The 15,030-nt window shown below is 48.1% G+C and overlaps 1 long non-coding RNA gene across 1 annotated transcript, besides 3 other annotated features; it reads left to right on the forward strand.

The window, feature by feature from the left end:
* LINC02579 (long intergenic non-protein coding RNA 2579) lies at positions 30-9,200 on the forward strand. The gene is made up of 4 exons (NR_034023.1): positions 30-138; positions 5,484-5,803; positions 5,896-6,008; positions 7,972-9,200. It is a non-coding gene; the product is annotated as a long intergenic non-protein coding RNA 2579 (long non-coding RNA).
* Positions 265-766: an enhancer, noted in NCBI's record as "H3K4me1 hESC enhancer chr2:64834681-64835182 (GRCh37/hg19 assembly coordinates)". NCBI's record gives its function as "activates a minimal SCP1, AML or CMV promoter by ChIP-STARR-seq in naive H9 embryonic stem cells {active_cell/tissue: H9 hESC(naive)}" and the evidence as "EXISTENCE:reporter gene assay evidence [ECO:0000049][PMID:30033119]".
* Positions 767-1,266: an enhancer, noted in NCBI's record as "H3K4me1 hESC enhancer chr2:64835183-64835682 (GRCh37/hg19 assembly coordinates)". NCBI's record gives its function as "activates a minimal SCP1, AML or CMV promoter by ChIP-STARR-seq in naive H9 embryonic stem cells {active_cell/tissue: H9 hESC(naive)}" and the evidence as "EXISTENCE:reporter gene assay evidence [ECO:0000049][PMID:30033119]".
* Positions 1,776-2,455: a silencer, noted in NCBI's record as "silent region_11558". NCBI's record gives its function as "represses an Ori minimal core promoter by ATAC-STARR-seq in GM12878 lymphoblastoid cells {active_cell/tissue: GM12878}" and the evidence as "EXISTENCE:reporter gene assay evidence [ECO:0000049][PMID:35858748]".
* Positions 9,201-15,030: the final 5,830 nt, after the last annotated feature.

The raw sequence follows: 15,030 nt of genomic DNA on the forward strand, positions 1-15,030 counted from the left end.
AATTGTTTGGTGACGGCCTCAGCTTTTAACTAGAATTTTGGAGAAAAGCTGCAGTGTGTCTTTAACTTGTTAAGCTTGGGAGCTGCTATCGGAGAGTCTTGCATTCTGGGCCCAGCCACATCCCTGCTCTTGGTAAAGGTTAGTTATTTACCTTTAGTTAATTACCTTTACCAAAATTATTTGAGCAAAAAATAAATTATATACATGCACACGCGTGCACACACACACACACCCATACATATGTCTTTAAACTACTTAGAGGGGCGTTCCTGCCACTTGCAACCAGCCTGTCATATATACTTCTCTGAACCATCTGGACATTTTGCAGGAGGTTCCCTTTCTGCAGAGGGACAAAGGGGTTGGCTGGGGAGAACATGAAGGCCTTTGGGTTAATGTGTTGGAAGCTGCCGCCAAGCTTGTAAATGAAAAGCATCTTTGAACTCATTGAGTAAACGTATAGGAAAGTGGATTTAAATTGAACGTCATCTGCCTACCGTCTTGGAAGCACATGTGTATGGCCCCAAAGCTAAAGGCTGCTAGACTTCTGCACAGGAGCTTGCGGCCTGGTGGTAGTCACTTCCCTTGGCGGGGCTTCCAGGGGTCCAGCAGCCTCACCTGACACGTGACACAGGGGCAGAGCCAAGCAAAGCTTCAGCCTCCAGTGCGAGGTGCAGCCACAGCTATCTCCTGCCCAGCTGGATTTTCCAGTCCTGCCGGCACGTTCCTTCCTGTTCCTTCCCTCATCCTTTGGCAAACAGATATCTGCAAACTCAGGCACCCAGAGAGTGAGGGGATTCCCATGGGGCCCTTCCGTGGTATAGGCTCTTGGGGCTCTGCCAGCCTGCTCTTAGAGGCCGGGACTGGTGGGCTAGGCTGGCAAAGCTATCCTCCATGCCCCGCTCTCCTCCCTCCTGTCTTCCTTTCCTCCACCCACCTCGCAGCCCCTGGCCTGCCTTTACTCCCAGCTCTCCTCCCTGAACCAGACCCGCTCCACCCTCTGCCACTTACACCTTTAAGGTGGACAACTGAGCTGGAAGGAGCCTCAGAAACCATCCCCATCCAATCCAGTTCCTTTCCAGAAGGAGAAACTGAGGACAGGGAGGCGAAGTGAGCTGTTAAAAGTCACCATCTAAGGAGCTGTGCTGGGGATAGAACACGGGTGGCTACGCCGGGCATGGTGGTGCGCACCTGCAGTCCTGGCTGCTGGAGAAGCTGAGGCGGAAGGATCGCTTAAGCCCCGGAGTTCGAATCCAGCCTGGGCAAGGGGCGAGATCTTCCTTTCTTAAAAAAAAGGAAAAAAAGGGCCAGGCGAGGTGGCTCACGCCTGTAATCTCAGCACTTTGGGAGGCCAAGGCGGGCGGATCACTTGAGGTCAGGAGTTTGAGAGCAGCCTGGCCAACATGGTGAAACTCCGTCTCTACTAAAAATACAAAAATATTAGCCGGGCGTGGTGGCGCATGCCTGTAATCCCAGCTACTCGGGAGACTGAGGCAAGAGAATCGCTTGAACCCAGGAGGCGGAGGTTGCAGTGAGCCGAGATCGTGCCACTGCACTCCAGCCTGGGCGACAGAGCAAGACTCTGTCAAAAAAAAAAAAAAAAAAAAAAAAAGACAGAAGAAGGAAGGAAGGAAGGAGGAAGGAGAACCAGTGGCCAGCGCCCTGAGTGTGTTTGGAGAGGATTGGGGTGTGGGGGTGTGCGTTTGAAGCCTTGTGTCTCCTGTGGACAAGGAGGAGCGCTCTGTGCCCTGGGGGAAGCCAAGGGAGAGGAGGGGTTGGAGAGGCAGGGACCCCGTCCGCCTGGACACTCGGGAGTGAAGGCGTGACAGGCCTCAGCCGGCCGTCCCTCCTCGCGCCTCTGCCCCGGGGGACGCACGAGGACCAGAAAGCCGAGGGGGCGCAGGGCCTGCTCTGGCCGCCGGGCCCGGGATGCCAGGATGCGGGGGGCCGGGGCTGCCGGTGCTCTTGGGGGCAGGGGGAAGCTCCGCTCCCTCTACAGAGGACAACCGCCCCGCCGCCCCGGCAGCCTCCGAGGCGCCCTCTCCGCGCTTCACTCTCGGCCGCTCCCCCGGAGCCACGCGAGCCGGTCGTGGCGGCTGGACCCGAGCCTGGGAGCCTGCAGGCGGCCGCGCCGCGCTGCGCTGCCGAACCGCCCGGAGCCGCAGGTCCGCCGCCCGCCCGCTCGGGGGCGCCCCAGCTTCCGGCCTCCGGCGGCTTCCGCGTCGCGCTCCCAAGGCCCGGCGGCCGCGCCAGGTCCCCTCGGCGCCCCCCGTCCCCTCTGCCGGGCGCTCGCCCCCGCCTCCACCCTGGGATCTGAGCCCGGGCCGTCTCCCCGCGGCGCCGCGCCTGACGGTCACTCTCTCTGACCTCCTGGGCCCAGTCCTGGGGCCAAGAGCCGCATCCCCGGGGACCTTGGTAGAAAAATATGCGGCTCCTGTAGCCACCCAAGATCTTCTGGATGAGAACCCCTGCACCAGCAGACTGGGTGTCGTGGACCTCCAAGCGGTTTTGACGCTGCGGAAGCTTGAGAACCTCCGCTCTGGAGCCCAGACCCCGCTGGAGGGTGGACAGAGCGGGAGGGTGGACTGAGCCTCTCGGGGACAGCGACCCTGTCTTTGTTCCCTGAAATAGCAGGGAGTCCTGCTGATTATTGACTGGTGAGACAGGGAAAATGGTTCCTGCAGGCAGCCCTGGGGTACTTTAATAAAAATGGTCTTTCCTGGATGATGACCAGGAGTGACTTGGAAACTGACACAAATTTCCTCAAAGGATTGATCCATTTAGCATCTGTTTAGATTACATCCCAAGTTGTTGGCAATGGAGCTGGAAAAGCACTCTGACCCTCTATTGTCAATGGTCTCTGAGGGGCTCACAGCACCTGGCGTGGCTCACATATCCAGCATTCTGCCAGGAACGTGGACCCTTGCTTCATGGACGTCATTTATAGGCTGAGTGAAAATCTATCCCAGAAGGTTTGGGATACATTTGAAGATACTTCCAACCTTCACTAAAGATTATTCCCATTTCATAGGAAGGAACTACGTCCCTTCTTATTCCACCTAGAAAAATGTGGAATAATTCAAAAGATGTGACCATAACTTTTTGTCTTTTTTCCAGAATATTTTAAAATATGTTTACATAATATTTACAATAAAATTTAACACATTCATAACTCTGTAATGTGTCGCATCCCCTGAGACCCAAGTGTCTGCTGTTAACCTAGTGACAGGGAGGGCTAAGCGTGGTGTGTTAAGGAATGTTGGCTCACTGCACAATATCTCCCACCAGAAGTCCATTTTGCAGCCAACAACCTTTGAATCACCCTGCCCTTGACTCAAGGGGATGATTCTGATGGTGGAGTACGGATCAGAGCGAGGGGAGATTTGGGATAGGCCGGCCAGGTCTCTCAAGTCCCATCTTCCAGGTGACCCTCTCACCTGCTTCTAAGCCTTTGAATGGGTTGTAAGAGGTTGGGGGCTGGGGGTTAGGGATGAGAGGAGGGCCCCAGAAGATGGGGCTTTCTGGCTGGTCTGCTTGGGGAGGATGGGAGAGGGTTTGATAGAGCAGGTGTTTGTTCAGGGCCAATTGTGCTGTCAAGAGCCTGTTTATCCCAACAATTCTACTTCAGGAATTTCTTCTATGGGAATAATCAGAGAGGCCTTAAATGACCAACAATAGGCTGGGCACAGTGGCTCACAACTGTAATCCCAGCACTTTGGAAGGAGGTGGGTGGATCACCTGAGGTCAGGAGTTCGAGACCAGCCTGGCCAACATGGCAAAACCCCATCCCTACCCAAAATACAAAAAATTAGCCCGGCGTGGCACCTGTAATCCCAGCTACTTGTGAGGCTGAGGCAGGAGAATCGCTTGAACCCAGGAGGCGGAGGTTGCAGTGAGCCAAGATCTAGCCACTGCACTCCAGCCTGGGCAATGGAGAAAGACTCTGTCTCAAAAACAAACAAACAAACAAACGGAAAAACCTAACAATGTGGGAGGGGTTTAAAGAAGAGAGCTCAGTCACATGAGAGAACAATCTGCAGCCATCAAAAAATCCCATTTTCAAAACAGTTCTAATGACATGGAGAATTGCTCATGATATGAGGTAAAAAGCAGCATAGAAAATGGTATTGTATGATACCTACTTTATGCAAAATACATATTATTTGCCTAAGGAAACATATATTTTTAAAAAGGACTGGAAGAGAGTTTGTCAAAATATTAACAATGATTTTCTTTGGGTGATGGGTTCATAGGTGATATTTGGTTTCTGCTTTATTTTGTCTGTTTTCCATAATGAGCACATGTTACTTTTGAATTAGAAAAATAATTTAAGAACCTGCAATGTTCTAAGCATTGTGCCAGACTCAAAGATGAATAAGCTACAAAGACGTATTTTCTGCCTTGGAGGAACTCATCATGGTCAATGGAGATAAGAGGTAGCCAGAAAATCGCAGTGTGGGGCAGGGTGGGACAAGTGTATAAGAGAGAGAGGGGCAGGACGCAGTGGGAGCTCAGGGGAAGGACAGAAGACATCCCCTGAAATCTAAGTTCCCTGGGAGCTGGCACCTAGGAGGTCAGCAGAGCAGGGTGGGGTCAGAGTCCCAGCTCTGCTCCCTGATGCCCTGTAGCTTTGGGCAGGTTTCACTAACTAGTCTGGCTTTCCCGTCTGTAAAATGGGATAATGAAAGGTTTTTGTGAGCAATTAATAAGGTAATGAATACAAAACATGGTCCCTGGCACAGAGTAAGTGCTCAATAAAAATTACATTTACAATAGAATTTCTAAAGTCAAGTCTGGGCAGGAAAGTGCAAGGGTAGCGAGGAACTGGTTGAGGTTGCTTGGGGTTCACAGGGAAAGGGTGGGAGACAGGATACAGGATGCCAGCCAAGGGGCACAGCTTCTGGCATAGGTGCTGCACCGCCCTGGAGGCTGGGGGACCAGTTGGGTGGGGGTTGCCTCCTGTGCCCCCTGAGCAACAGAATAATGGAGGATGGCTTGGGGATGAAAGGATGGAGAGTCAACGGGCACAGTGGCTCACGCCTGTAATCCCAGCACTTTGGGAAACCAAGGCGGGTGGATCACCTGAGGTCGGGAGTTTGAGACCAGCCTGATCAATATGGTGAAACCCCACCTCTAACAAAATTAGCCGGTCATGGTGAGCATGCCTGTAATCCCAGCTACTTGGGAGGCTGAGGCAGGAGAATTGCTTGAACCCGGGAGGCGGAGGAGGTTGCAGTGAGCCGAGATCGCGCCATTGCACTCTAGCCTGGGCAACAAGAGTGAAACTCCATCTCAGAAGAAAAAAGAAAGGATGGAGAGTCTGGAGCTAAACTCAAAGCCCTTAGCCCTGACTGGAGAGGGTGAGGGCATGAAGGGACCTCCACAAATCACCCTTGGCATTAATCAAGCATCTACAGTGTTGTATGTGCTCTGTTTTTAGTCCTGTTATAACCTTGAATATCAACATTACTATCTCCATTTTACAGATGCAGAAACTGAGGCCCGGGACCACACACCTGACACCAAGTGGACTAGGATTCAGGCCGTTGACCATATTCTTTCAACTTCAGGAGCAACAGCACCTGGAGGACCCAAATTTGCTGTCATCCTCCACGAGGCCTCAGCAGTCTCCAACATGGAAGGGCACTGAGCCAGCCTGGGGGTTTCCAGGGACCTTCCTGACTGAACACTGGAAAGACCCTTTCATTCCATCCTGTCCCCCAGGTGGGACCCCACGCCCTGAGGTGGAACAGAGGTGAAGAGGAAGGGGAGCGGCTCCTGTGCATTTTAATAGAAATGAATTCAAGTAAGTGTGAGAATGTCATAAATCCCTCAAGAGGGCTAGAGGTGGTGGAGGAGCCCCTGTATCCCCAGGTGATCCCTCTGATGCCTTGACAGGTTCTCTCCTGAAGGACTCAGTTCCTTGGGCCCAAACTTCTCCAGTCTCTCATGAAAGGAGATGAACTGCTTCAGATAAAGTGCTAATCTTCAGCCTCAAAGTCCTCAGAAGGGTAAGATTGCTATGTATCTGAAGATGGGTGCAATAGAAAAGCAAATGTCCCATAAGACCCCAGCTCTCTCCTCCTCCACTGAGAGCGCACACTGTCTACAGGGCAAGTCTCGTTGCTTGAGAAAGTTCTTTTAATTTTTTCCAATCCACCTGGCAAAGAGCCTGACCACAACGTCTGTCTCACCCTCCTTCCCGAAACTTCGGTCTCCCCCATGGGATTTTCAGAATTTGGGAGGGGGTGCTGTGTTGCTTTGCAGTTCTGCTGCCCATTTTTCACAAGAGAAAACTGGGTGTCAACGAAATGAGAATAGATTCTGCAGTGAAAGCATTTGGAGCCAGACAGTGGGAGAAATCTGATGTATAACAGTGGTTTTCAACCACGGCTGCAAATTAGAAGCACAAGAACACTTCAAAAAATACTCATACCCAGGCCCCACCAAATATTTATCTTGAGATGGGATGCTTTCTTGCCTGCTTTCCTTGTGTGTGGGGTGTGTGTATGTGTGCTTGTGTGTGTGATATGTGTGTTTTAAAAAGTCTTCCAGGTGATTCTAATATGCCAGAGCTAAGAATTACTCACCTAAAATAAGACAACTGTGTTAGAAAGAATATCCAATAGAGAAATGAACAAAAGACATGAATGGGCAATTCACAAAGACAAAATAAAAATGGCTAATGGGCACATGAAAACCTGTTGACCCCAATTAATAATTAAAGAAATGCTAAATAAAACAATAATGAGATAGCATTTCACGTATCAAGTTGTCAACCCTTTTTTTTTCTAATGAAAGAATATTCCCAGGAATAACAACAACATGTTTGTGTGTGTTGGGGGTGGGGCTGTGGCGAGTCTCAAACACTGTGAGAATAAATAGCTACAATCTCTCCTGAGGGCAGCTGGGCAACATGCACCTTTACACCCATCAGTTTCACATTAAGATTCTATAAGGATGCACTGGGATTTAGCTAGAGCTGTTCATCTTAGCAGGAACAGAAAATTGGAAATTCCTAAATATCTACCATTAGGAGATGAGTTCAATGAATTACGGTGCTGCCATAAAACAGGATGCCACACAGTCACTGAATGTAATAGAGTCGATGACTATGTCCTGATTAGGGAAGATGTTCAGATAAACTATTGAGTGAAAAAAGAAGCAGTTTCCAAATAATAATACCATTTTTGCTTTTTAAAAAAATAATGTCCTTCCATGAAATAGAAGTAAAAAAATTAGAAGAATATGAAAAGTATATGCGTGTATATGTCAGTACTTAGGAAAGAGCTTGCAAAAATATATGCAGGCCAGATGTGGTGGCTCATACTTGTAATCCTGGAAAGACTCGGGAGGCTAAGGAGGGAAGATTGCTTGGGGCCAGGACTTCCAGACCAGCCTGGGCAAGACAGGGAGACCCTGTCTCTATAATTATTTTTTTCTTTTCTTTTTTTTTTTTTGTAAATTAGCCAGGCATGATAGCACGTACCTGTAGTCTCAGCTACTTGGGAGGCTGAGGCAGGAAGATCCTTAAGCCCAGGAGTTCAAGGTCACAGTGAGCCATGGTTGTACCACTGCACTCCAGCATGGGTGACAGAGTAAGACCCTGTCTAAAAAAAAAAAAAAAGCAAGGTTTTAGTAGTCATCACCTTTTTGTACTACAAAGGTATTTTATATTTTTATTTTTGCTTTCTGTATTTTATAGCTTTTCCCTGCAAAGGATATACTGTATTTGTGTTTGTTAAAAGGAAAAAATTATTTTTAATTAAAAAAATTAATGAAAATTTAAAAATTTAATTTAAAAAAATGAGCAGTTTGCTCATCTGTTTTCCTCTGGGAGGAGACAGTCAACATCTTGGTGCAGTGAAATCTCCAGAAAATCCCCAGACTCTCCACCCTCATTTCCACACCCCACCTTTGACCAAGGAGCCAAAATATAGCCTCAAACTGGACTTCTTTTCCCTCCTCTTCCAGGCCTTCTCCACGCTGCTGGGCTGTGAAAGGCTGAAGGAGGTGGAGCTGGGGAGGAAGATGAAGATCTAGAGGTCTGAGAGAGCTTCAACTGAGTAGAGAGCAGCCTGGGTTCCAAAGTCCTGGCCCCAGCTCTGTGTAGCCATGTGACTTTAGTTCAGGCCCTTGACTTCTCTAAGCTTCTGTGTGCACAGCTATCAAATGGGAGTAATAGCAGTATTGACCTCGTGGGTGGTTATGAGGCTTTACTGAGATGGTACAATGTCAAGGGCTTAGCACATTGCCTGGCACGTAACACTCAGTAAATGCCACCCTGACTGCGTTTAATTTGGGAAGCTAGACCCTTACCTACCCAAGGGCTGTGATGGTAGCAAGCCCACCTGCAGCCATCCTCAGAGGGTAGGTGGAGAGTGAAGCCAAGCCCCAGAGCCACGGACTCCAGAATGAAGGTATGGACTCCGTGCCTGGACCTGTTACTTGATTAGGGTTTCTGACCCCAGCTTCTTCCCCATTTGCCCTGTCACACCATCCCATAATGTCCTGTTGCCCCCCTCTTGACCCTTCCTCCCACCCCAATTCCATTTATCACAGTCCACTTGTGGTGTCAGGGCAGAGACGCCCAAGGCACTGAACTCATCTTGCCACTGTTGGTCGCCCTCTGTGCGTTACAACAATGTGGGACTTGGGGATTCTAAACCACCACCCTCACCAATTCTCTCAATCCCCATGACCATCTCCATGCCTCCAAGACTCTCTGTGCCAGCCCGGAGGGGAAGCTGTCCGCAAGGTCTCTGGCTCCTTAGTGCAGAGCAGGGTCTACACTAGGTGCAGAGCTCTCTGGTCAGCGCAGCAGTGGGCCTGCCACCCAGACACACAGAGGTGGCTCAGCAACAGTCAGAGGCCCTCAGACAACATCGGGAACAGAAGTGGCTGTATGAGCTTCTAAAAAGCCCCATCTGGAAGCTGGAGAAGCTGGGCCCATTTCCTAACTCAGAGGAGGCCACAGTCCCTGGGGCAGGAACTGGCCCCTCCTATTCTTCCCTTGCCCTCCAGAGTGGGGTTGCCTGGGACCAGGTCCTCAGAAACTGTGATGGGAGGAGGGCACCTTTACAACAGCAGGTGGAGCACCTGTAAGTCCTAAGTTCCCTTCCCCAAAGACCAAGAAAGAGTTTGGAGAAGACTGGAGCCAGCCTTGCCTTCTCCTCTCCTGAAGGAATGGATACATGAATGAATGAATGCCTCTACTTTACTCTTTTATTTTTAGAGTTAAGGTAGAGAAAGAATAAAATAGCTGTGGATGTACAAACACCATTTAGAACACAGTTAAACAAGCCCAGAAGCTTAGTTGAATACAAGTGTCAATAGGCAACCACATTTTGCATTTGCTGCCCAGCAGCTAAACCAGAACTGGGCCCTGCAGTGCAGTAGTTTGGCCAACTGTTTAATGAATGAATGACATGACATGACCACACATTTCAGATAACGGGGAAAACGGGGAGGAAGCTTTGGGGGGTGTGTCTCCGCACCCACATAGAGTTGAAGTCACTTGTACTTGGTATAACTTGACAGCTCGGTGAGCTTTAGAATCAAGCACCCACAGATGGGGAAATCTCATTTTCTAAATGAAATTAACAAAGTAGGAGGGGCAGATCAGGGTGTTTCAATTCATACCCCAGCCTGCTCTCCTAGCAATCTGGTAACTAGACCAGAGCTTCTGCTAAGTAAGTTAATCAAACAACACCTGCTGGGGCGGTGCTGCCCACAGACTTGCCCACCATTCTAAGACCCTGTACACACACACACACACACACACACACACACACACACACACACACACTGTCATCCTGTTCTGGGCTATTCTATGTGTTTGATGCTTGAGCCAAAGATAGAATTTGTGTGGACTGTTTTCCCTGAACACTTAACTTTTGCCTGACCAGGTACCCAAGAACTCTTCCCGAGAGCCCAACCCAGGCCTTGAGCAGCCACATTGCCACAGGCCCTCTGGCTTTATTGCTGTGTTGTTGACTCAGCTGGGGATTTCTGGTGGCTTTGAGATTCTCTCTCCATCTGGACTCAGTCTCTGAGGCTCCAGACTCCTTCCTAGTCCCTATTTCCTCCTGTCTTGTCCCCCTTGGACTCACCTGGGCAATGGGCTTCTCCAGTCTGAAAGGGTCAGGCCCTGTTAGGCTGGGGCCACTGCCCTGGGCAGCATCTGGAGTGAAAGGCAAGCTGAGCTGCTGTCAGGCCCTGAGAAACAGGTATTTTTATTCCGGGGAGTGGCCCCTTTTCGGGACTCAGACCCTGGGAATTCAGGTGCCCCACTCAGCTCTAGCTAAAGTTGGGCTCCCAGGACCCTCACCAGGCTAAGAGTGAATGCGCTTGGGTTTCTTAGCTCCCCTGCCCCCCCCACCATTCCCCATAGTGGGTTCCTTTTGTCTTCACTAAATCCCCTCCAATCTCCCCTTCCAAAAGGCAGCAGATCCAAGTGGAATTCAACACCCAAACACTCACACAAAGGCAAGGATTAATAGCTGGCTTTGTCTGGGCACAGATGTGCAGCAGCTTGGCGGGGGGGTGGGGAGGGGGCATTTTTTTCTTGCCACTTGAGTCAGCTGGGTTCTGGCTCCGCACTTGAGGGTGGGGAGGGGAGGAAGCTGGGGAGGAACTGCTGCATGGATTCCCCTCGAGGGCACCACACCCGACTTCTCTGAGCTGGTATGTTCTTGGGAGTCTGGTCCCCACGAAGGAGAGACTTCCTCTACAAAGTTCTTCTCTGGCTGGGAGGCCTGTCAGCCTCTCTTCCTTTGACTTCAACAAGTCACACTCACAAGCTGGTGCGCAGTCTCTGGACTCAGTTCCTGTTCTTCCAGAGCCTGAGCTCTAAAACAGGCCCCAGACATTCTCAAAGAAACCCTGAGAGCTGAGCGGACTAACTGGGACACTGACAGGAGGCACACGGGGGCATACTGCAGGAGGATGGGGAATGTTCCTGGAGGAGCTGGGGCTTAATCTGAGCTCCAAAGGATGGACAGAGGGGAAAGAAGGGGACTTCTTTGCAGCGACTCCAGGAGGGGTCAGTGGGGCAGGAGAGAGCAGGGCCTTGAAGGTATGGGAAGGGGAATGAATATTTCCTGTGGCAATAGGGAGCCACTGAAGTTGTAGATCAGAGTCAGAGCTGGAGAAGCACCATGGGTGTAAGGAAGCCTGTTCTGTTATTGGGCATAGAACAGGCTGGAGGAGGTGGTAGCCAAGGAAACAAATGGGTGTCTCTGGGCCAGAGCTCATTCTCACTCAGCCCCTCTGCATCCAACAGAATCCCTTATTTGAACAATCCATGCTACTATTCAACCACACAATCACGGAATTACAAATTTGGTCCTCAATATTTAGGGACAGAAATATCATGTTTCCCTATTGTTCTATGTCAGGTAAATTAGGCTTCATTCCTAAACACAGAGCTCATTGGAAATATGACATCAGTCAAGTTTGGGGTGAAGGGGTGCTTCCCCTTCCCTAGGGTGGGACAAGTATCTGGGGTCTCCAGACCAGCTGGTCTCTGAGGGGCTTGTTGATCAAGACAAGACCCCTGGTATCAGGAGGTTTATATGCTAGAGGAGGAAAAACAGTAAGAAACAAGGAAGCAAATGAATAAATGGGATAGCTTTAGATCAAGTTTGTCCAACCTGTGGCCTGCAGGCCACGTGCAGCCCAGGACAGCTTTGAATGCAGCCCAGCACAAATCTGTAAACTTTCTTAAAACATTATGAGATTTTTTTTTTCCTGAGACAGAGTCTTGCTCTGTCACCCAGGCTGGAGTGGAGTGGCATGGTCTCGGCTCACTGCAGCCTCCGCCTCCCAGGTTCAAGTTATTGTCCTGCCTCAGCTTCCTGAGTAGTTGGGATTACAGGCATGTGCCACCACACCCAGTTAATTTTTTGTATTTTTAGTAGAGACGGGGTTTCACCATGTTGGCGAGGCTGGTCTCGAACTCCTGACCTCAGGCGATCTGCCCACCTTGGCCTCCCAAATTGCTGTAATTATAGGCATGAGCCACCATGCCTGGCCAAACATTATGAGTTTTTTTAGCAGTTTTTTTTTCCTTTTTTTTTTTTTTTTTAGCTCATCAGTTATCATTAGTATTAGTGTATTTTATGTGTGGCCCAAGACAATTCTCCTTCTTCCCATGTGGCCCAGGGAAGCCAAAAGATTAGACACCCTTGCTTTAGATAGTGACAAATGCTGGAGAAGAACAGACTGATATGTCTGGCTGGGATGAGTGGTCAGAGAAGGCTACTCTGAGGAGAGAGCATTTCAGCTGAGAACTGGAGGATGAGAAGGAGTGAGACATAGTAGAATCTCATCTAGTCTAGATATTTAACCCTTTTTGGTCTAAAAACAGTAATTTCAGAGAGCTCAACGTAATACAGAGATAGAGGTGCTGAGCATATTTAATGCAAAGGAATGGAGGCAGGACTGAGATTGGAGTGGCAGTCTCAGCTCAGAAAAGGTGGTGCAATGACAGGGCACTGAGTGAGGGACACATAGGAAAAAGTGAGCTCAGAGGGCAGGTCTGGCTAGAGAAGGAGTTGAGAGTCTAAGTTCAGTGGGAAAAATAAATTTCGAGGGTCAGATTGTGAACTGATTCATGTTTGGAATGTTAAAATGTTGAATGTTTTACAATTTGAAATTAAAGACAATACCATTTACATTAGCACCTCAAAATAAGAAATACTCTAGTATAAATCTAACAAAACATGTACAAAATCTATATGAGTAAAACAATAAAATGCTGGTAAAATAAATCAAAGATCTAAATAAATAGAGAGATATTCCATGTTCGTGGATGGTGAGACTCAATATTGTTCAGATATCGGTTCTTTCCAGCTTGATCTATAGATTCAATATAATCATAATCAACTCCCAGTTGTCTCTTTTGTGGAACTGGCAAAGCAATTCTTAAGTTTATGTAGAGAGGCAAAAGACTAGAACAGTTAACACAATATTGAAGGAGAAAACAAAGTCAGAGGGCTGACGCTACCCCATTTCAAGATGTACTGTAAAAGCTGTTGTGATCACCTGCAGTCCCAGTTACTTGGTGAGAGGATTGCTTGTGCCCAGTAGGTCGAGGTTGCAGTGAGTTATGACTGCACCACTGTGCTCTAGCCTGGGCCACAGAGTGAGACTCCACCCCTAAAAAAAAATTCAAAATAGATTCTAGATCTAAATATAAAAGCAAAACTATAAAAATTCTAGAAGATAACACAGAAGAAAATCTAGGTGACCTTGGATTTGGTGATGACATTTTAAATACAACACCAAAAGTATGATACATAAAAGAAAAAAATGACAAATTGAGTTTCATTAAAATTAAAAACTTCTCTGCCAAAGACATTGTTGAGAGAACGAAAAGACGAGCCACAGACTAGGAGAAAATATTAGCAGAACACGTATCTGATAAAGGACTGCTATCCAAAGTACACAAAGAACCCTTCGACAATAAGAAAACAATTCAATTAAAAATGAGCAAAGATCGGAACAGACATCTCACCAAAGGCATACAGATGGCAAATAAACACATGAAAAGATGCTCAACATAATATGTCATTAGGGAGTTGCAAATTAGAATAACAATGAGATACCACTACACACCTATTATAATGGCTAAAGTCCCAAACACTGGCAACACCAAATGCTGAAGTGGCTGAAGAGCAATAGAATTCTCATTCATTGCTGGTGGGAATGCAAAATGATACACACACATTGGAAGGCAGTTTGGGAGTTTCTTGCAAAGCTGAACATACTCTTACATATAATCCAGCGATCACCCTCAGGAATTTACCCAAATGAACTGAAAACTTATGTCCCCCCTGCACATAAATGTTTATAGCACCTTTATTCAAAAAATTGCAAAAACTTGAACCAAGATATCCTTCAGCAGGTAAAGGTTAAATAAATAGTGGTTCACCCAGACAATGAAATATTATTCACGGTTAAAAAACGATCAAGCTATCAAGTCATGAAGGAACCTTAAATGTGTAATGCTAAGTGAAAGAAGCCAGTCTGAAAAGGCTATATACTATATGATTCCAGTATATGACATTCTGGAAAAGGCAAACTTGTGGAGACAGTGAAAAGATCAGAGGTTGCCCGGGTTCCTGGGGAGGGGCGAGGGATGAATTGTGGGAACACGGGATATTTAGAGCAGTGAAACTACTCTGGATGACACTATAATAATGGTAGCCATTATACATTTGTCAAAACCCACAGCACTCACAACACTAAAAGTGAACTCTGATATAAACTATAAACTTCAGCTAATAATAATAATACATGAAGCACTTTGGGAGGCCAAGCCAGGAGGCTAGTTTGAGCCCAGGAGTTCAAGGCCAGCATGGGCAACAGAGCAAGCCCTCAGCTTTACAAAAAATAAGAAAAATTAGCCAGGCGTGGTCATGAGCACCTGTAGTCCCAGCTAATCAAGATGCTGGAGGATCACTTGAACCTGGGGACGGAGGCTGCAGTGAGCCGTGATCATGCCACTGCACTCCAGCCTGGGCAACAGAGTGAGACCTTGTCTCAAAATAATAACAACAACAATAATAATAATGTATCAGTATTAGCTCATCACTTGTAACAAATGTAACACATGAATACAAAATGTTAATAACAGAGGAAACTAGGGGCCGGGCAGTGTGGCTCACGCCTGTAATCCCAGCACTTTGGGAGGCCGATCCAGGCAGGCGGATCACAAGGCCAGGAGTTTGAGACCAACCTGGCCAACATGGTGAAACCCCGTCTCTACTAAAAATACAAAAAATTAGCCAGGCACGGTAGTGCACATCTGTAATCCCAGCTACTTGGGAGGCTGAGGCAGGAGAATCACTTGAACCCAGGAGGCGGAGGTCGCAGTGAACAGAGATAGTGCCATTGCACTCCAGCCTGGGTGACAGAGCAAGACTCCATCTCAAAACAAACAAACAAATGAAAATAATCATAACAGAGGAAACTTGAGGGGTTGGGGGAAGGGGTATATGAGAATTCTGTACTTAAAAAAAAATTTCT

The sequence above is a fragment of the Homo sapiens genome, chromosome 2, assembly GCF_000001405.40.
Source record: "Homo sapiens chromosome 2, GRCh38.p14 Primary Assembly".
NCBI lineage: Eukaryota > Metazoa > Chordata > Mammalia > Primates > Hominidae > Homo > Homo sapiens.